We start from the raw sequence: 21,503 nt of genomic DNA on the forward strand, positions 1-21,503 counted from the left end.
GGAGAAGGGAGAATTCTCTAGGCTTACTCACTATGGCTCAGGCACAGCCAATCAGAAAATATTTCAAAATAGACTTGCTTGCATTTGTCATGGCAACTTCCTGCTACCCAGTGGCCAGAAGGCTTCCTAGAGTTGCAGCTTGTCAGGGACCTCTCAGAGGCACAGACTGTTGGAACTCAAAGGGGTCTTGAAGCTCATCTCCCCAAAGACCTCATGTTACAGGTGGGGAGACTGAGACCCAGGGTCACATAGCTGTTGAGGGCAGAGCTAGGCTTGGAACTCAGGCCTTCTGTCTAGTGTGCTTGTGCCTCCCACCAACATAAACCTTCTGCCTCCCTGGCCGTCATTCATTCATTCATTCATTCATTCATTCATTCATTCAGCAAATGTTTACCAGTCCCTATTAAGTGCTGGGTTCCAGGGTACAAATCCTGCCTCAAGGAGCTTTCCTCCCAGTGCAGGGAGGTGGGCCGAGAATTCTAGATCCCGATAAGTACCCTGAAGACAGGAAGGCAGGGTGATGTGATGTCAAGGCCTGCTTCAGCTGGGGGTCAGGGAGGGCCTCTACAGAGTGGCACTGTGGCTGAAGCCAGGTGGATGGAGCCAGCACCTCACAACCAGCTATCTAGACCCATTTCCTAATCAGCCTTGTAGGAGCTGATGGAGCAGTCAAAAGTGCCCCAGGTCAGGAGGCCTCTGCCATTTCCCAATTCTGACGGGAAGTGATGGAGAAAAGCCTCTTCCTTGTGGGTGCTATAGGAATCCTCCTTCAGAGAAGGCCAAAGCTGGGAAGCAAGTGGGTCCTGAGGCTGCTGGGGATGTGGGGAAAGTGTCACCTTCAATTCATGCTCTGGAGCTCTGGTCCCACCCTCATGAAAATCATAGACACCACTGATGTTAAATAATTGTAACTGCTGATGTTAGTGAAGCCTGTAGCTTGTCTCAGACATGAGCTAGGGGCTTCAGAAGCATTATTGTTTTTAATCTCCTCAATATACCTTAGGAAATGAGCAGACATCACCCCCATTATATAGATGAGGAAAGTGAGGCCCTGCTGAAGTAACTTGCACGAGGTCATACCACCAGGAAGGAGCAGAGCCTCAGGGCTTTTGTGACCCCAAAGACCAGAGCCTCTGAGCACATACCCAGCCCCTTCTGCCTACTTGACTTCATGTCTCACTGATATGGACACTCCTGGCTACGCTGGCCCTCGCTGATCACCCTGCCTGCCCTTGGAGCTCCTACCGACTCAGCCTCATGACCTGCCACAAACCCTAAATATGCCTCCCTTTCCAAAGGCCGTGATCAACATCAGTGTCCTAACAGCACCCACTGCGCCCCAGGAGCATCTGGACCTTTACATGCGTGATCTCATTCTTCAAGAGAACCCTCCAAGGTCAGGCTTATGTGTCTCATCTTACAGGTGAGAAGGTAAAGGAACTGGCTGAAGGTCATGCAACCATAGGAGGGGATCAGGTAATCTGACGCCACAACCTGAGAGTGCCCCATGCCTTCCCCTGGGGGTGCTGGCCAAGAGCTCAGCCTGCTTCACCTTGCTTAAGCCCCCACATCAGTCACTCCCTCCTGCCACCAGCCTTGACCTACGCAGAGCTCAAAATCATGCCTCAGCAATGCTACAAATGACAGAAAATCCCCCACCTTTGAGGTCACTCTCGAACACTTGTAACCGCAAATATTGAGACAGTAAATGCCGAAGGTTGTCCATGTCTGCACTTCAGGGCAGTGAGAGAATACATCTAAAAGAGCACAGCCTCATGTTAGAATAGGGACCCTGGGCAAGTGACTTGACCCTGCAGAGCCTGTTTCCCCATCTATAAAATGGGGTTACACAACAATTCCCGCCTCATAGGTTCGGAGTCAGGTAAAACCAACATAACATAATGGTGTCTGGCACACAGCAGATGCTCAGTAAGGGTCCATCAGTTTGTTGAAAATTGGCCTCAAGTACCTGAGGGGTTGGTGCTATTTAGAGTCTGGACAATGGGATGGAGATTTCAATTTCCTGGGTTTCTGGGGCATTGCTTGGAAGACCTCTGTCCTCAGCTCTCTTCCCAATCCCCTGGTAATTGGGCTCAGCAGGCACTGGGCTCTCCCTCTGGACACTGTAGAGGTGGAGGGGCAGCAGCACAGGCCCCAATCTCTCCAGCTTGCCCACAAGCTGGGCAGGGGAAGCAGTGGGTTTTCTAGCCAGCTGTGCTCCCAGGCCTGCAGTCAGGGAGGGAAGTATGTGCTCAATGGGGAAGTTTCTGCCACAAACACCCAGTTGAGAAACATGGTGGGGAAAATCCAGCAGGCTGCTGATCTCCGAGTGGCTCATGCAAACGACTGCCTCGTCCCTTTGTCCCTCTAGCCTGGGGGTGGTGGTAGCTTCCTGCTGGTGCTACCCTCTGGGCTGCCTTTCCATTCCCTTGATAGCTTCTCCACTTTTTCATCACTTGTATAATGGATTCCCTACATTCAATTCCCTCTATTTGAAATACCTAGAATGGCTTCTTTTGCTATTGGACCTTGAAGTTCAGAGAAGTGAAGTCAGCCCCCTGTTCCTTTGGAGATCTGCCTCCCTCACCCTGGCTCTCTGCTAACCTTTTTGCCAGCTGCCATAGCCTTTGTGGAGTTCTGTCTGAGAATACAGTAAGCCTAAGGAACCTCATCAACTGATTTTCACTAAAGTATTACTGACTGATACTTGGGTCATGTGGAAGAAGCTAGAACATCACGGGGCCTGTCCAGGGGAGTCTAAGGCCACAGAGGAGATGCAGCCACAACTGGAAAAACTGCCTAAGGTGTCTCTCTTCCTGCCTCCCTCCATTTTCCTCTACAGGCCAAACTAGGCCACACAGCATGGGAATACAGCCTGAAGAGGTTGGGCCTCTCTGCCATAGGCGAAGATCAGAGCAGGGGAAGGATGAAGAAGGATTTGAGGCAAACAGCCCCACACATTCCCCTTCTGTGTACTGTGGCAGGGGATTGGACCAGATGGTCTTTGAGGACCCTTGTTCTCTGAAAGTCTACAGATCTAGGACTCTTAGGGCAAGGACACAATTTCCCTGGATTCTGTCTCAACTCTGATCTCATGTGGCCTTCTGATCCCTCTTCTCTCTGGCTTCAGTGTGCCTATTTGCTCCGTGGAGGAGTTGGCCAGCCTGGTCCAAGAGGGCCCTGGAAAAAGACCCAGGTGTGTAAGCTGATTGCTTATCCACGCTTCTCCAGGGAATCTGCTGCACTCACCATCCCTGACCACTGATGCCTTCTCCATTCTGCTGTCCCAGACTGTAGTCCTGTGCCTGCTTCTCTCTCTCTTTTTTTTTTTTTTTTATGGAGTCTTGCTGTCACTTAGGCTGGAGTGCAGTGGTGCGATCTCAGCTCACTGCAACCTCCACCTCCTGGGTTCAAGCGATTCTCCTGCCTCAGCCTCCCTAGTAGCTGGGATTACAGGTATGTGCAACCACACCCGGCTAATATTTGTATTTTTAGTAGAGACGGGGTTTTGCCATGTTGGCCAGGCTGGTCACAAACTCCTGACCTGAAATGATCCGCCCACCTCAGCCTCCCAAAGTGCTGGGATTATAGGCGTAAGCCACCGCACCCTGCCATGTGCCTACTTCTCTCCATAGCTGTGAGCCCATCAGCCATGGGCCCAAACCTGCCAACCCTGTGAGGCCAGGAGTGACACCAGATGTCCAGGCTCCACCTTCTGCCTGGGGATAAGGAGCCCTTTCCCCTCAGAGGACTAGGAGGCACCTCCTGGCCTTGGGCAGGAATCCCCTTGAGCCCTGCCCCATCTGTCCAGGACTCCTCCTTTCTTCTTCTCCAGAAAAGAAGAATGGACCAGTTTCTAGAAAAGTTTCTAGAAAGACTCCAAAAGAGGTGTAGACCATAAGAGACGACTGGTCTCCCTCCACAGAAGCAGAGGTCAGACCCTCCCAAAGCTTCTGCAGACTCTCAGCTCTCAACTCAAGTAAGTTAAAATGTACCCACTTCCCGCATTATAACACTTTTGAATTACTTTGTATGAGTTAAGGCGTGCTACAGTTTACCGGCTGTCCTAATATTACATTTTGCAGATGTTTAATTAAACATGCAGGAATCTCAAGCTTCCTGTGACTGAGCTCAGCTCAGGCCTTGTTCTGTGTGATCTCAATCTATTCTTCAAAATTGTATTATTATTAACCCCATTTTACCAGGGAGAAAACAGGATGCAAGAGGTCCAGCACTTTGTTGAAGGCCACACAGCTAGGGGCATGGTGGCATGGGCACTGGCTGCTCTCCCTTTGCCCTGGTGGGCCTCTCCCTCAGCCTGACGTCTGTCAGTGCCTCCCTGCCACCCCTCCAGTTCCTGGTTCTGCCTTGGGCCGACTGGGCCAGGTACTTCAGGCCCGTGGGGCTCAAGTCTCTCTAGGAGAGTGAACAATCTGACCTGCTGCTGGACCAGAGCCCTCCTCCTGGCCCAGTTAGGAGCATGGTGCCCGCACCCCAGGACCCCTCCCTGGGGTGAGCTGCAGGGCACATAATTTACCTGCCAGGAGCCAGGAGGTAGGAAAGCAAACACCATAAATCATCAGGATGCCTGTGTAAATATTTTATAGCTGGGACAGTAAATAATGCAGCTCCCTGGACACGCCCCGCCCAGTTCGTCTGTCCCACATCTAGCACCCAAGACAATCTGTCTGGGCCTCTCTCACACCTTGTGTTTTTAAAACAAATGCTGTGGCCCAGTGCTGGACATTTTCACATGTACATCTTCACTGATCAGCCTTCGCTCAGGTGTGGAACAACTTTCTCCCTCCTCCTTCAGGAGTCATCTCCTCCTGGAAGCTTTCTTTGATTTCCTGAGTGGGGTCAAGGGTTCCTCTGGCTCTCAGTCCCTAGGCTTCCCCATCTGGGCCCTGCTCACTCTGTGTGATCATTTCTTGGCTCCTATTACGATTCCTGGTGACTAGTCTGCCCTCCCTCTGACTGTCAGCTCCAAGAGAGCAATCGTATCCCTAGAGCTGAGGGCAGAGGTTGGTGTATAGCAGGTGCTCAACAAATAATGTTGAAGGACAGAATAAATTATCTTGCTTAATCCTTAAATAAGTCTGTGGTATAGGCATTATTATGTGTATTATTTCTATTATCCTTATTTTATAGACAAGAAAACAGGCCCAAGTGGCAGTACTGGGATTGACCTGTCTGTCTGGCCCTAAGTCTAATGCTTCCTCAATAACCCATCTGGGACCTTGACTCTTTCCCCTGAGGACCCCAAGTTCCTTGAGTCAGGGACCCTCCGTTTCTGCTCAGGGAAGCTCCTGACCCCTCCCAAGGGCTCTGGTACCCAGTGGGTGCCAATCCATGTGTTTGAATGGCTGGAAAGGGCAAGGGAGAAGTCAGACTTTTGTCCTTGACCTGGGAAGGAATGCACAGTGAGCACCTTGGGAGCAGAAGGCTGGGCAAGGGGACCTGTGATCCCTGGGCCCCAGAGCAGTTCTGAGAAGATGTGCTCTGGGGAGGGTCTCAAGTCTCGGATGGAGGCGGGTGTGGAAGGTGCTCTGATGCAGCAGCCCAGATGCCTTCCATCCAAAGGCACTGTGCCACTGTGGGGCCGCATCCCTAACTAGGCTATCGCAGCCTTGCAGGAACCTGAGACAGAAGACAGATGATACTGTCTGCCTTCTCCCCATCCTGTGTCAGGCATTGAGAACGAGGACAAAGAAATCAGGGCATGGGCAGTGCAAGGGGGGGACAGGGCAAGGACAGCTTTGCACAAGAAGCCCTGGCCTGACCCTGGCCTCAATCCTTGGCAGGAGGTGGGCTGCAAAGGGAGGGCCAATGGATTTCAACTGATGTATCAATTCCAGCTGGTCGCCAATGGCTCCCTGGAGCTGTGTTGACAAGGATTCTGAGCTATATCCCTCCAGGCTCGGCAAGAAGCTCTGTGATCACTTAGCAATATCTGCCTCAAGCACAGAAGTGGGCACAGTAGCTCACCTAGGAATTTGCCACCCCCTTCTTCTACCTTTCCTCAGCTCTCAGCAGAGTAGGGATTTAATAAAGGTTTGTAGATTCACTGTTGACTAACAAGGTCAGTGCAGAAGTCATTTAGAGTTACCATTTTCTGTGTAGATGAGAAACATGAACACATGGCCTATTTACTATTGCCTCTGCAAGAACCAGAAAGGGAACCAGTGAGAAGAGAAAATGACAGACAGCAAGTGAGAAGCCAGTTAGATGCAAGTGAGACGTCAGTTAGAACTTCCTAGTAGTATGGACTAAGACCTTAGCCCAGGGACAAGGGAAGTCGCAGCTCAGCCCTCACGAGTCAGCAGAGACTGGGAGTTTTTTAAGGCAAATTCCAGACAGCAAACTTGGCTAGGCCCAGGCAGTGAGTCTTGTGTGGCAGGAGATGGGGTGCAGTAGACTCACACACCCCCACTGCGCCCAGGACAGTGCGAGGGGCACAAAGCGGTCCTGGGTGGAGCCCTGCCCTCACACCACTTCCCACGCTGTAGGTGGGGAAGAGCAGGCAGGGACACACAGGTTCCCTCTGGGCTGAGAAGATCTGGGCAGGCTGCAGGGGAGATGGCATGGCCAAGAGTGCCGGCTGTGAGGCAGCCAGACTGTGTGCCTACCCTTGCCTTCCCCAGTCTCTTGTTTCCCCCTAGACACCCACCTGTGAGGCCACACAGGCCTCACAGTTGGCAAATGAGCTTTCAGAAGGGAAACTGTCCTTCCCCTGCCAGCTGCTGACGCCTCCACGCCGGTCACTTGTCTCACTCCACCCAGGCCAGTTACCCACTGTCTCACTCTCACCTCTGTGGCTTTAGGGACAAGCTGGCCTAGTGGTTGTGAAGTCTGGCCCAGAACCCAGGGTACTGTGGGTGACCATAGGCATGTCACTTAGATTCCCAGGGCCTCAGTATCCCCTCCTGTAAAATGGGACTAATGATGGTACCCATATCATAGGGGCTTTGTGGGAAGTTTGTGAATTAAGGAACATCAAGTGTTAGTTCAGGGCCTGGTAGGTAGTGAGTGCTTGATATGTGGGGGCTGGAATTACTGTTCTTGTTATGATGTGAAGCTGAGACCAAGCTCTCTTCACACCCTCTGTAGAGTCTGGAATCCACCCAGACACCCAGGGGACCACAACCAAGATCTGGAGGCCTGTAGGCTGATGGAGGGCCCTGGAGCTGGGACTTGGAACACTCTGCACTAGGCCTGGTGCAGAACAAGAGGGGCAGGGGCAGGGCTCCCTGCAGCCTGTGGCCCTGGGCCTGCTGAGCTTAGGGCTATATGCAGAGCTGGCCACCCCAGGCCACCTATAATTACCTTTTGGCAGAGCTCTGCGGTACTGGGCGGGGTAGCAATTTTCAGGTTTTATTTTGATGCCCAGACAGTGCCTTTGGGCAGCTTAGCACCAGTTGCTGCCAGACAGGATCAAAAATTGAGTTCTTCAGGGAGGAGGCCCTTCCAAGGAGGCTGACCTCTGAGTGCAGGGTCTAGGGTTCAAGATCCCATGGTCTCCACCAGGCACAGTAATAATCCCTGTATCCTGTAATCACGCCTGTAATCCCAGCACTTTGGGAGGCCAAGGTGGGCGGATCACCTGAGGTCAGGAGTTTGTGACCAGACTGGCCAACATGGTGAAACTCCATCTCCATTTAAAAATATAAAAATTAGCCAGGTGTGGTGACGCGTGCCTGTGGTTCCAGCTACTCAGGAGGCTGAGGCAGGAGAATCGCTTGAACCCAGAAGGCAGAGGTTGCAGTCAGCTGAGATCACACCACTGCACTCCAGCCTAGGCGACAGAGCGAGACTCTGTCTCAAAAAAAAAAAAAAGAAAGAAAGAACGAAAAGATCCCATGCCCATGGTCTCCACAGACACCCCCAACTTTTTTTTTTTTTTTTTTTTTGAGATGGAGTCTCGGCAGGCTGAAGTGCAGTGGCATGATCTTGGGGCTCACTACAACCTCCGCCTCCCAGGTTCAAGCATTTCTCATGCCTCAGCCTCCCGAGTAGCTGGGATTACAGGCATGTGCCACCATGCCCAACTAATTTTTTTGTATTTTTAGTGGAGGCAGGGTTTTACCATGTTTCCAGGCTGGTCTCGAACTCCTGGCCTTAAGTGATCCATCCACCTCAGCCTCCCTAAGTGTTGGGATTACAGGCGTGAGCCACTGTGCCCGGCCCACAGACTCCCTTTTGCCCAGTCCCTGGGGGCAGGGGCTGCGCCGGGGAGCCTGGGTAGCTGGGAGAGTCAATGGGAAGCAATGCAGGCCCTCTGGGACACAGAGTAGAGCACACAGGAGGATCCAGGCCGGGAAGGCACAGTGGACTCTTTTCCTTGTTCTCCTCTGCTCTGTCCCCCTTCCCTCCTCCCCTCAGGAGGGAAAGCCTTGGTCTTATGTGGAAAGACGCTGTCAAAACTTCCGCTGGGGTGGTGTGGAATGAGGGTGTCTCGGGAGCGGATCCTGAGCCTGAGCCATCTCTGGAGGCCACACACTCTTGCCTGCTTGCACCTGGCATCTCCTACCCTGCTGCCCCCACGCCATGCCTCTTAAGCATAAGAATGCATGCACATATGTGTCCTTGCACACTCACCCAACAGCGACCAGGGTGATGATAAAGGAAGTGATGGTAGCTTCCCACCCAAAACTCCCTCATCTTGAAGCAGGGAGAGAAGGAAGTCAGGCTCCAGGTAGGAGAAACAACCCCGTGTGTGCCTGAGTACCTACGGACCCCACGGCCATTAGCATGGCAGGCCTGCCCCATGGTGCTTAATCATGCACTGCTGCTCCCTCTTCTCTTGGACACATTCCTGCCTGCTGCGTCTGACCCCCATGGCAGAGCCCATATTTCTCTGGATCCCATAGAGACTTCCAGGGCAGGGCCTGCCAGTGCTCCTGGGTGCAGGGAGCCCCAGAAGTCCAGGCCAACCCCATGCAGCTTAACTTTTGGCCCTTGCTATATGGAGGCTGGGGGCTGAAGAAGCCAAGAAACATGCAGTCACTAAGGTTGCTGAGTGCTGTCTCTGGGCACAGCGATGTCAACACAGGAAACCTGGTCTTCACTGAGTACCTGCTGTGTACCCGGCCCTCACAAGGTGGGAGTCATGTGTGTGGTGGCAGTGGGGAGTGATCAGGAGGACAGGACATGGCACTCAAGGGGTGACCTTGCAGCTAGGGAAGGAACAAAAACATACAGGATCTAAGTCTCAATTGCCAAAAAGGATAGCTCCTGGAAGCCCAGAGACCTGTAGACTCAGGTTTTAGAATTGACAGTGAAGGAAAGGAAGGGTTCAAGGTGGCCCAGGAGCACCCTATACTCATCCTTGAGTCAGCTGGCCAGTGTCCCAGCAGCTCATTATGTAAGGGCTGAGCCAGCCAAGTTTGCAGAGCAAAGGTCAGAATGGCAAAGATTTATTGGAAAGTCTCCTTGCACTCATACCCATGAGTGCCCTTTCATGTGGGGACATTTTGTGCTCCTGGAGCACACTGCAGTTGGTCTTGGGTACTTCCTTGGGACAGGGAAGCTGGGCACGTGGGCTGGTGGAAGTCTTGGGCTCTGAGTTTCCACCCCTGCATCGGGCTTGGGCATGGCCAGCACTCTGGTTCCTACCCGATTGGCTCCAGAGACCCAGGAAGCATTCATATGAATCATATAGGTCATGGCTTCATTTTCCCACTCATTTAAAGGTGCCTGGTGCACTCACACCTGCCTCCAGCCTTTGCTCTTACTGTTTCCTCTGCCTTGAGTGACCTTCCTCCAGATCTTCTCCCCTCCAGTTTCTGCCTGGAAAGCCCTCTTTCCAAGCTTCATTTCCCATGATCTTCACCACAAACCCAGGCTTTTGTATGGCACCCAAGGCCGCTGTGAGTGTGAATCTTCAACTGGCCCCTGAGGCACCTGCCAGCAGTAACCAGTGCCCTGCGAATCCCACCCTGCAGCCCCTCAGCCTTCCCTAGAGTCAGCCTTGGATGCAGCGGGCTCATTACCTTCAAGCCTTTGCTCAGGCTGTTCCTTCTGCCTGGAGTGCTTTCTCTGCCTCCTCTGCCTTCCCACCACTGCCCACTAAGGAATTCCTTCTTGCTCTTCCCGGCCCAGCACCAAGGGCACCTTTTTGGTGAAGCCTTCCCTGCTTTGTTGGCCCTCGCACAGAAATTTTTTTTTTTTTTTTTTTTTGAGGCAGAGTCTCGCTCTGTCACCCAGGCCGGAGTGCAGTGGCATGATATTGGCTCACTGCAACCTCTGCCTCCCGGGCTCTAGTGATTCTCGTGCCTCAGCCTCCTGAGTAGCTGAGATTACAGGCATGCGGCACCACGCCCGGCTAATTTTTTGTATTTAGTAGAGGTGGGGTTTCACCATGTTGGCCAGGCTGATCTCAGACTCCTGACCTCAAATGATCTGCCCTCCTCGGCCTCCCAAAGTGCTGGGAATACAGGCATGAGCCACCATATGAAGCCATGCCTTAGATTTTATACAGAGGGCTTGAGGCATGCAAGCTTTCCTGTCCTACCCTAAAATACACCCTGAGGTTAACAAATTAAATCATAATAACAAAGCTGGCAATAATCCACTGAGCACTCGCTCTGATCCAGGCACGGTGCTAGGCCCTCCTCTTGTCTACTCTCTATGAGCCTCTGTTAGCAGCGAGTGGAAGCCAGAGAGGGAAGGTGATGTGCCCAGGGTCACATAGCTGAGTGGCTGAGCTCCCTGCCAGAAGACCAGCCCCCAGTAGCCCCAGGACACTCCTGACCTTGGCCACCACTTTCAACACCTCCGTAAGAATAGGCCCTTTCACTCATGCATTCTGACTCCCTCAGCGGACTCAGGCTCAGGGGCTTGGGCTGCCCCTCAGGCATGAGGAGAGGAAGAGGGGACCCTGGAGGGCAGTCACACAGGCATGCAACAGCAGGGAGGCTCCAGCCCAGAACCTCTGTGTCAGAGGAAAACAGGTACTTGTGGGACTCCCTCCCTTCCTCTGGTGGGCCATGGGCCGAAGTCCAGGTCACCATCTGGTCCCCTGCAAGCAGATCTTGCAGAATGTCCACCCCGGCTCCAGTTTCCTGAGACGTTGTCCTGGCCACGTCCCTGTCAGAACTGACTACCAGGCAGCAGAGCTGGCCCCAGGGCAGCATCCGTCTTCGGCTAGGGAAGGGGCTGAGACCCTCCGCAGGACACGTGAACACACCAGGTCTTGGACTCCTGCCTCAGCGCCCTGCAACAACCTGTGTGGCCTTGGGCCGGGCTTCACCTGAGCCTCAGTTTCCTCGTCTCTGGGATGGACGGGAATCCCTGCTTTACCCCAGGTGTAGGCAATTAGACAGCAATGAGGTGGCTGCCCACTCCTGTCCATCCTCCCATCAGACCCTGTGCTCAACCGGCAAGGAAGCCAGGCATCTTCTTCCTCCTCTCCCTTGCTCCATCAGTCAGTCCATGTGACCACTGACCGTTGGGTCTTTCATCATCCTCCCATCGTGTTTCAGAGAAGCTGAGCCACCTGCCTGAGGTCACACAGTTAGAGCAGGCTGAGCCAGGAGGAGAAGCCTGCAGCCTGGGCACACCTGCCTCTGAAGCCACCAGGTTTTCGTCCTGACCTTCGTCCAGCCTCGCACAGACGTCGGGCCTGGCCCTGCTACCTGGCCTTGGGCTTGCCTCCCTGAGCCTTGACTTCCTCAACTGTAAACTGGGGTTGCTCTTACTCTGCAGGTTGTCCTGATAGGCGGTTTTTAATCACTCAGCCTCTCCCTGGTAGCAGAGGTAAATTAGTATCTACTGTCCCATCACCTTTTCTGGGTAGCTGCAGCCACAGAGACCGAGAGGGGCAAGGCCCTGCCAGGATCCTGCAGCCAGTCAGAGGCATGGCTGAGCAGGCCTCTACCTGAGGGTCCAGCGTCTCCGCAGGCTCACTGGCATTGTGTGTGTCCACCGAGGGCCCGTGGAAGCCTCAGTGTTGCCACAACTCACTACCTGGACACAAACTTGCTCACTAATGTTTGCCCAGGCCTACCCTAGCCTGGTAGGCACTTCAGCGCTTAGCCTTCTTCCAGAAGTTTCACCCTACACCCACCTGGGCCCCCTGGCAGACAAGATCTGGGAAGCTGGCCTGCCCCTCAGCTTCTAGGGTTCCCTCAAAGCTGGGGATAGCCAGGGGACCTGGATCAGTGGTGGTGTGGGGTTGAGGCAATCCAGGGGAGGCACATTTGGGGGACAGTCAGTGATACCAGCTCCCACGTGAAGGACAGGGATGTAGGAGGCATCCTGATGTCCCCGGTCATCCCCTGCCCTCACTTCCTCCTGGTAACCCTATTCTGTCTTCCTCAGTGAACTGGGAGATGAAATGGAGCATCAGACTGTGGCTTGGCAGCCACACATAGATGGGTGGGGAGGCAGAGGGAGGAAGGAGGTCTTGGATTGTGTTGTGGGATGAAAAACACACATTGCCCTCATGTCGGAGCACTACCTAACCTGGCTTAAGAGGTTAGCCAGGGAGGCTTCCTGGAGGAGGAGGTAACTAAGCTAGAATCTACCAGAAGACTGAGAGGAGTTAGCTAGGCATGGTGTGCTAAGCAGAGGGAAGGGCATGGGCAAAGGCCCAGGGGTGAGAAGTTGAAGGATGTTGTCTGGTAGGAACTGGAAGACGTTCCTATTCCTGGAGTTCTGGGCTGGCAGGGGGACAGGCGGCAGAGGCTAAGTCACACTGGGCCAGGTGGCCACAGTAGAAGTTTGACCTTTATTCTGAGAGATCCATGGTCAGCCTCAGGGCTGGGGAGTGAGTAGTCCTTGACACTTTAGGAGGATTATGTGGCTGCTGTGAAGGAAAAGAATTGCTGGAGGTGGGGAGGTGGTATTCTGAACAGAGGAGACCATCACAGATGGCCAGACAAGGGACACTGGAAGCCCAGGCCAAGGTGATGGCATGGGGACAAACAAATGAATTCAGAAGTCAGGATGGGGAGTGTGAGGCACCAAGGGGAGAGAGATCTGTGCAAGATTCTGCGGTGAGCTGGGGCCTGGCTGGGGTGCAGAACATCGTGTGTGCAGAAGGTTGATAGTGGGTCCAGGGCAGAAGGCTGCCCAGCGCAGGCCCACTGGGATCCTGCCCAGGGGCTGGGAATCCTTTCCCCTCCCACCCTCTCTCAGAGAAAGGCTTTGGCCCGAGGGAAGAAAGTTCATTTTTTCTTCCTTTGCACCATGGCTATGCTGTGCACACCCACAGAGCACACCCACGGAGGCTGTGGTTCCGCTGCTGCCTGCCTTCTCCAGAGTCTGGGGAGTGGGGGAAGCTTCCTTGGGGCCTTCTCCTCCGGATTCCAGTGGCTTGGTGTGGGTGGGGTGGGAGGAGGGTGCTTGAGGAACAGGAGGGAAGACTTGGCATTTCCATTACCCCCCTTGCCTCCAAGTATCCCCTACCACTGACACACATACACATCAGCTGGCACCTAGGAGCACACACCTGAACCCAAAGTCAGATTCCACAGAGTACTCCCGCCACAGCCCCTGCAGCCCAGCACTCAAACCCACTGGCACTTCCCCCAAGTCTCCCCATGCAGCCCTCCAGCTCTCCCTCCAGAGAGGTACCCTAGGGTTGGAGCAGCCCACACACCAGGGAGCCACCCTTCCCCTCCAGCAGACAGACCAGCAGGTCTTCTCTAGCAACATGAGGGTGCTAGGGCAGACATCAGCATGAACTTCCCAGATATCCAGGTTGTAAAACACGAGGGCAAGTTGAAATTCTAGTTCATCATTTTCACAAGGCCCCCCGGCTGTGTCCCAGACCTTCTCCATACCTGGAGACCCCTGTGATCCTGGGCCTGGTACCTGAAGCTGAGGACTCAGTTCCAGTGCCCACCCTAGCACAACTATTAATAAATGTCAGAAGCTGGCAGGAATCCCCGCTCCACTGGCCTAGAGTGGAGGTGTAAGAGGCCCTGCATGGGGCCCACCTGAGGGCTTAGATTCAGTACCCCAGCCCTTGACCCAAATTCCACCGCTTACTCAGAAATCCCAGCCTTCTCCCTGCCCCCTACTGCCCTGGGATGCCTGCCCAGTACCCACGGGCCCTGAGGGGCTGCCCTGGGAACTGGCTGTGTTTCCGGCCCCAAGGCCTCACCATTACTGCTGCCCAGGCCTGCCCAGTGGCCTGGCCGCCTGCCTAGCCACTGTGGCCAAGATGGCCACAGCCTGTGCCCACAGAAGCCTGCAGGCAGAGGCAGGGCCCAGGCATGTGAAGGTGGTGGGGTGGGCAGAGCCTGAGGGTGAGACTCACCTCCCTGGGGAGGCTCCTCCCCTGCCAATTTCTGCCTCTGCCCACTGCAGGCTGCTGGGCATCAGGGGAGGAGCTCCCCTGGCATGTCTCTGCTAGGGGAGCTCATGGTCTGGGGGAGATGGACATGAACAGCCCAGCTGCCTATTTCTAGTACTGGGCACAGAAATGGGCACTCTGCTTCCAACATTTTAATTTATCTTCAGAGCAGCCCCAAGGCCTGGAGATTTTACAGATGAAGAAACTGAGGCTGAGAGAGGGCTGGCACTTGCTCCAGGTCACACAGCCAGTCAGCATGGGGGCTGCATGCTAGTTCTTCCCACTCTGAAGCCTCTGCAGTAGACAGTGTGGAGTTGGGGGGCTTACAGGAAGCAGAGGATGCCTCTGGTTAGGGGCAGGGATCTGGGAGCCTCCCTGGAGGACAATTTGCAGGAGGACCATTTGCATGGGACCTCATCAAATGGCTAGAGCTTAATGGAAAGGCATTCCAAGGCAAAGCACAACCTGAGCAGAGGCTTGGTGGGGAGGCTTCGATGGGCAGTGGCAGGGGGAGTGTAGGTGGGTGGCAGAAGTGCCCTCGTGCCCAGGGCCTCTCATATCACTGGAGGACTTGGGGTGGAGGGTGCTGGGTGCTCAGCCTCTGCCGGTCCAACTGGCCCAACCACTTCTCTCTGGCACTGCCCACTGTCCCTGCTCACAGCTCTGCCAAGAGTTGTTGGCAAACCCTGGGTGAAGTCTGGGTCAGGGGCCTAGGATTCCTCCAATCCCTGTCCCAGGGCAAGGATTAGGGAGTCCTGAGCCCCAGGCTGCTCTGCTCAGTCTTGGAAGGCCTCACGCAACCCCCTTCACAAAGCCTGCCCGATTGTGTCCTCAAGGGACAATTTATAGCATGCAATGACAGTGCGGAGGGCAGGTCTGTCTGGGGAGATGAAACGACCTGTGCGATTACAGGAGATTCCTACTTTCCTCGGTAAACTTGTCTCTGTCTTCCTTGCTTTAATAGAAAATGTATTACTTTTTTTTTTTTTTTAAATCAGAACAGCCAATGTGTGTGGCTACTTTTCCAGGTTTCGGTGACTCTCCCTCTTCCCCTCTCATCCCATATCCAGCCCCCAGTCCTCAAGGTCTTCTCAGAGGTTCCCACTAGGAGGCCGGCTGCAGTGCCCTGGACGACCCTCACACCCAGGACCTCAGTTGCTCCATCCAAGGAATGGGCGAGCTCAGGTCTTCCTGACTTTCCTGGAGAACAAAGAGGGTGAGGAGGCGAAAGGGCCTCCCGGCGCCTGGAGCCAGGTGGCTGCCGGACCCGGGAATAGAGCCGGGTGTTTTATAGCGGGGTTTGCGTCACGCGGCTGGGCGGGCGTCTGCGCCCCCGGCTCGGAAAGGCTTCCCTGAGGCGGGGCGGGGCGGGGCGGGGCGGGAGGGTGGGGCCCGGGGGACTTTGTGCTGGTGCACGGGGGTCGCGCCGACTGGCGTGTACGTGGTTGTGCGGTGGGTATGGAGGTGTGTGCACGGCGCGGGGGACCCTGCTGTGCCTGCAGTCAGTCCTTCCCAGCCTGCCAACCTCGAGCAGCCGCCTTTCAGCTCAGGGCCACCCCCTACACTGTTTCCCATGGGCCAAGCTGGGTTTGGTGAGCTGTCCTCTGAGGATGTGGGGGATGAGGGGCTGAGAGGTGGGAGCGGGGAGCTGAGGCACCCTCAGGCCAGGGAGCGAAAGGAAAGGCAGGTGAGGCTTATAGCCCTCCCTGCCCTGCTAAGCCCCATGAGCCTCCCAGTAGGGACCCCGTAGATTAGAGCTAAATGGGTGCCGGGGATGGGGGCGGTGGAGGAGAGCTGGGAGGTCCCCTGGACTCCGTGCGAGGGGATAGCTCTTGCTGATGACTGTCCCAACACCAGTGCCCCTTCTCCCCACCTACACACATGTTTGGGGGCAGGGGCAGAGGAGCCAGGGAAGGGGACTCAGGCTGGCAGGGGCTGTGCCATGGTCAGTGCAGAGAAGGGACAGTCCAGGGTACACACCCCTGGGAGAGCCACAGGAAAGCCCTGTGTTCTGCACTCCCAGGACACACCTTCCCCTTGTCTACCCCCAAGTATGTCTCAGGTTTCACCCAAACACAAATGTGTTGAGGAAGGAACATGGAGGCAATTAGCCCAGCCTCACCAACTCTCTGCCTGGCAGGTAACACCAACATGGGATGAACTTGAACTCTTCCATCCTCTCAGCCTCAGGAGGTCGATCTTAACCAAACACCACTCCACAGATGAGGAAGCTGAGGCACATTTAAGTTGCAGTGCAGGGCAGAGCCAGGATGCGAACCAGCCCCTGGGCTGGCACTTCCCTGCTGTGCAGCACTACCCACAAGGCCACTGTCCCCCTCAGCCTGTCCTTGCTTGTCCTTAACCTAGTACCTGAGGCTGACACTCCTGTCGATGACAGTCTTGGTGGCCTGAGGCATGGGCATGTCCCAAGTGTCCTTCCTACTACACTGTCCCCAGTGGGAACCTCCCAGGCTCTGCTGCCCCCAGCAATTGCCCAGGTGCACTGTCGCTGTTGACTGTGTCTCCTGCTCCAGAAACACAAGCCCACTCTCTCTTGGCCAGGCCAGTGCTCTGGGTGTGATGGGGATTGCCGTGGCAACCAAAGCTTCAGGGACAAGGATGGTGACACAGAGAGACAGAAACAGAGAGAAGGTGCAAAAAGCAGAAATGCCAGGACAAGGACCAACTCTTGGCAGGGATCAAGTGAGGGACCCCATTTGCCTTCAGCTGTGTGGGCCTCAGGGACAGAGGGAGGCCTTTTCCAGGTTGCTTGGCCGAGTCTTGGACTTCAGGAGTGGAGGAGTCTGGAGGCCTCCCAGGGTTGATGGCCTTTGGAGGAGGCAGAGGTGGCAGGGGTCAAGTTGCTTCTCCTCTGGATAAATCCTCCAGGAGGCCCACAGAAGGAACAGCCCTGGGTGGATGCTGTGGGTGGGAGTCTGGAAGCTGCCTGGCACCACCCTAGCCCATCTCCTTGGCTGCAAACCTGGAGGAGGAGGAAAGTATCACCTCTAGGCAGCTGCTATGAGTCTAGCCCTGCTCAGGGATTTACGCCCCATGTCAGGAGAGGCCATTGAAGCCTCTTTCAAGGCTGACAGCCTGTGACTTGGCACATGACCAGGCTGTAACCCTGGGCAATGTGTCTAGCCTGGCCGAGGCTCTGTATATATCATCTCATTTAACTCTTACCACCTCATTCAACTCCTGACATGAGTCTGTCATCAGCCCTTTTCATAGGTGAGAACTCTGAAGCTGGGAGAGGCATGGTCACCTACTCAGGGTCATACAGTTGGCATGTGACACAGCCAAGGTTTGCTCTCAGGCTTCAGCAGGCCCTTCTTGTTGATGCAAGGCAGATTATGGGGACACAGATACCAGCTCATCTGGACCCTGCCCTGGCCCACCAGTGTGGCACCCAGAAGCAGCTCCAAGATGCAGGGTGGTTCTAGTCAAGCTTGGCCTGGATTCTCTGGACCTCATGCAAACCTATTCTCCCTGGAACCCTTGGACCTAAGGCCTGGAGGGAAGCCCACCTTCATCCCTTCTCTGCCCTCGCCACAGCATAGCTAGCACAGCCTTAGCCCCTCTGACCCTCTCTGAGTACATCGCACTTCCCCTTTCTCTAGAGGAGAAAGATTGGCTGAAGCCAGTGTATGCTTGCAGCCCCTGAGCTCACAAGTCTGCATATCCTGAGGATCAGGAAAGTGCTTCCTGTTGTCTAATGTAAATCTTGTTCCTGTAACACCAGTATATGTCAAAGCAGTGATTCTCAACAAGGGGTAATTTTGCCCTGCAGCAGACATTTGGCAATGTTTGGAGACATTTTTGTCTGTCACAAGTTAAAGCAGGGAGGTACTATTGGCATCCACTAGGCAGAGGCCAGGGATGCTGCTCAACATCCTTACAGTGCACAGGGCAGCCCCCACAGCAAAGAATCATCTGTCCCAAAGGTCAGTGGTGCTGAAATTGAGATCCCTGATGTAAACTATGGGCTTTGGAGCCAGACAGACCTCGGTCTGAATCTGCGTCTGCCACTGACTAGCTGTGTACTCTGGGGCAAGTCGCTTCTCCTTTCTCTGAGCCTCAGTTTGCTCATCACCAAAACTGGCACTAACAGCAGCCCTCACCTCTTGAGAACTGTTCAGACTGCCCACATCCAGCACCCAGCACACAGCCTGGTGCTGGGTAGCCCCTATCAGCGATAGCCATGATTATTCATTTCCTTCTTCCATGGTGAACCACACGGAGTGGGAACAAAGGTCTGGTGGCTGGACCTGGAGCTCCTCAAGGGTCAGTCCTCCCTCTGGCTGCAGTCCCTGGCACAGGGTGGGCCTATTGTTTATGTTGAGGGAGAGACTGGGTTGGCTTACTGTGGACCTGAAGGAGGAGCCAGAAGGAAACCCGATCCCAAGTGGGCAAAGGTCACTTGAGGCTCACCTTGTTTACCCTTTCCTCCAGTCCAACCCCAGGGAAGCCATGGGGCATGATGGGTGGGGTGGGATGGGATCAGGACACAGAACATGCTAATGAATATGGTCCTTCACTCAGGGAAGTGCCGTGCATTACAACTGGGCATCAGGGAGGAGGGACATTTGAATGGACACAACCAGGGCAGGTAGAGGTTTGGGGGTGGGGTGGGAAATGGCATTCAGGCCCAGAGAACAGCATGCTCAAGGCCTGGGTGTGAAGAGAAAGTCTTTCCCAAAGGATAGTCCTTGAACCCACCTGGTCTGGCCTTTTCTCCCCATCCATCTTCCGCAATCTCAACCAGGGTCCTCCCACCTGAACAACGTGGCAGCCCTTCTGTCCCCCATCCAGCCTCTCCTCTGCCCTGCTGTCCCTCTGCCCCATCTATCCCGCAGGAGCCCCCTTGAGCCTGTCATCCTGCCTGGTTGTAATAGCTTTCACCACCTTCTCATTGCTCTGTGAGAAGACCAAAGTCCAATGGCCTGTCTCTGTCACAAGCCCCTTTCTCAGCTCAGGCCACCTCAGGGATTGTCCCCCACTTCCATCCCTTGTGTCTCAGCTGGGAAGAGCTGTCTAGACTTTCTCTATCCCTTCTAGGTGGTTCCCCAGGACCTGGAACCCTCTTTTTTGTCTCCTGGGAAGTGACATTTCTTTGGATGAGTATAAGGCTAATGTCTTGGCTTTCTGAGCTCTGGGGACAGGGGAATGGACTCCCTAGAACCCCAACTGGTCCCTAGACTTTGAGCCTAGGGGACACTCGGTGAATAGATGAATGAGTGAATGAATGAATGAAGGAGTTATGGCTGACAACCAAGTTCCATGTCTGGAAAGGAGGCTCAGGCGCCTGCCAGGAGCAATAGAGAGGTCTCAAAGGTGGGGGCAGGAAAGCAGAAGACTGCCAATCGGGGTAGGGGCAACTGCCAGTCCGAGTAGGGGCAGTTCCCAGAACCGCCTGAGGAGCAGTGCAGCGCCCGACCAGCGAGAACCTCCGACCCTGGAGTCTAACCAGCTCAGTCTTTGGGGCAGAGCCGGGACAGCGGGCTTGGCGGCGGGCACCGCGCCCGGCCGCGTCCGAGCTCCAGCCAACAGGAAGAGCAGGAGTGGGGCCAGGAGAGGCGGGCCAGCTGGCCAGTGGGGAGTCCCGGGCGTGGGTGTGGGGAGCGGGGGAACCCCCGCCGGCCCCTCCCAGGCCCCAGCGGGCGGAGGGAGCCTCCCCACCGGGCCTCAGCGTCCTCCTCTGTAAAATGGGCCCCTTCTGAGGGCTGGCTGCGCGCTAATGGCGGGAGGATGCGAAGAGGGCCAGGCAGGGCAGAGGGACCGGGAGACTCGGTGTCCCGCGCAGGCAGAGGCGGAGGGACGCTGTCCCCGATTGCAGCTGGCGGGGCGAGGCCTGGCAGGGCGAGGCCTGGCGGGGGCGGGGCCTGGCGGGGGCGGGGCCGGCGGCACCTGGGTGAGGTCGCTCGGCCCCGCCCCCTCGCACTTCCGTGTGCCGCGGCGCCGGAGCCCGAGGCGGCTGTAGCCCACATCTCCCGAGCGACCCCCGGCGCCCGCCCGCCGCGCGGAGGCCCGGGCCACACCTCACTGGCCGCTTGGCCCATCCCAGTCAGCGCCGCGCCGAACCCCGTCCGCGCGCGCCGGGGAGCGGCGCCCCCGCCGCTGCCGCCGCGACCCTTGGCGCCTGCCCCTGCAACGGGAGGTAAGTGAGGGCCGGGTCCGGGCGCGGGATCGGGGCTACCCCGAGGGCGCGGCGCCCTTCCTTCCCCCTTCCCGCCCCAGTTCCCGTTTCCGAAACTGAGAAACTGAGCCGCGGTCAGCGAAAGTCCCGCCGCGCCGAGACCTGCCGGTGACTCCGTCCCCCTGTCCGTCTGTGTGTCCCTCCGCTAGACAGTGGGGGCTGAGGTCCTTCTGTCTGCCCGCTCCCGGCCCCTCCACCCGCCCGTGTGTCTCCCGCTCCTCCGAGGGGCCCGTCCGTCCCTCCCGACTCTCTCCCGGGCCCTGTGTCCGTCCGTCTGTCGCCACCCACTCTGTGTTCTCCCCCTGCGCGCCTCTCCGAGACCCGATCCTTCTGTCCCTCGCCACCCGATCCGTCCGTCCCTTGCCCTCCGCGTGCTCCATCGCCCCACCCCCACCCACACCCCTACCCCCGCCCGCCGCCCCCTCGATCCCGTCCTCCCGGAGCCGCGCCCCCGGCCCACGCTCGCCGCCCCCTGCCAGTCCAGCCGCCTCTCCGCTCTACCGCGGGGCCCAGGCCAGGCCGCCCGCCGGGCCTCGCCTCCCGCCCCTGGGTCCCTGGAGGCCCGACCCGCGCGGCGCCTCCTCCTCGCTGTCTCTTCTTTCGGTCTCAAGAGTCTTTCTCGGTCCCTTCATCCGTCTCTGGGCTGGGCGTGGCTCCAGTCTCCACCATCCCCCTTCCCACCCCACCCCTCCGCCCCTCTGAGACCCCTCCCAGGGTGGCCCCTGCCCGATACGGTCTGTACTCGCCCCCAACCCAGATGCCACTCCCGTTGTGGGGGCTCCACCAGATGAGGGGAGGAGGTCGGGGGGGGGGGTCCTCCTGGCTGGTGGTGGAGCGGCAGAAGGAGAGCACCATCGGAACTGCTCCCACTTCCCCAGTTCCCTCTCTCTTGGGGCAGGGGAGAGCCCCACCGAGCCCCGCCTTAAACCTGGTCAGAAGGATCTGCTGTGAGTGGGCGGGGGGTCCCCTTCTCTGACGCCTACCCTGTATGCGTGGAAGCTG

At 56.2% G+C, this 21,503-nt stretch overlaps 1 protein-coding gene across 5 annotated transcripts in view, besides 5 other annotated features; it reads left to right on the plus strand.

Annotated features, from left to right (window-relative positions):
• Positions 7,789-8,596: an enhancer, noted in NCBI's record as "H3K4me1 hESC enhancer chr3:53182771-53183578 (GRCh37/hg19 assembly coordinates)". NCBI's record gives its function as "activates a minimal SCP1, AML or CMV promoter by ChIP-STARR-seq in naive H9 embryonic stem cells {active_cell/tissue: H9 hESC(naive)}" and the evidence as "EXISTENCE:reporter gene assay evidence [ECO:0000049][PMID:30033119]".
• Positions 15,514-16,014: an enhancer, noted in NCBI's record as "H3K4me1 hESC enhancer chr3:53190496-53190996 (GRCh37/hg19 assembly coordinates)". NCBI's record gives its function as "activates a minimal SCP1, AML or CMV promoter by ChIP-STARR-seq in primed H9 embryonic stem cells {active_cell/tissue: H9 hESC(primed)}" and the evidence as "EXISTENCE:reporter gene assay evidence [ECO:0000049][PMID:30033119]".
• Positions 18,011-18,090: an enhancer, noted in NCBI's record as "active region_19958". NCBI's record gives its function as "activates an Ori minimal core promoter by ATAC-STARR-seq in GM12878 lymphoblastoid cells {active_cell/tissue: GM12878}" and the evidence as "EXISTENCE:reporter gene assay evidence [ECO:0000049][PMID:35858748]".
• Positions 19,745-20,694: a silencer, noted in NCBI's record as "silent region_14459". NCBI's record gives its function as "represses an Ori minimal core promoter by ATAC-STARR-seq in GM12878 lymphoblastoid cells {active_cell/tissue: GM12878}" and the evidence as "EXISTENCE:reporter gene assay evidence [ECO:0000049][PMID:35858748]".
• Positions 20,243-21,503, plus strand: part of PRKCD (protein kinase C delta) — a 31,509-nt gene continuing 30,248 nt past the window's right edge. For 4 of the 5 annotated variants that reach the window (NM_001354680.2, NM_006254.4, NM_001354679.2 and 1 more), the window contains exon 1: positions 20,243-20,462. The gene's annotated coding sequence lies outside the window, so the exon portion shown is untranslated. Of the gene's footprint in view, positions 20,463-20,540; positions 20,610-21,503 lie in introns of those variants that run through there. The other variant, NM_001316327.2, reaches the window with a different exon arrangement.
• Positions 20,965-21,194: a silencer, noted in NCBI's record as "silent region_14460". NCBI's record gives its function as "represses an Ori minimal core promoter by ATAC-STARR-seq in GM12878 lymphoblastoid cells {active_cell/tissue: GM12878}" and the evidence as "EXISTENCE:reporter gene assay evidence [ECO:0000049][PMID:35858748]".

Source organism: Homo sapiens, chromosome 3 (assembly GCF_000001405.40).
Source record: "Homo sapiens chromosome 3, GRCh38.p14 Primary Assembly".
NCBI lineage: Eukaryota > Metazoa > Chordata > Mammalia > Primates > Hominidae > Homo > Homo sapiens.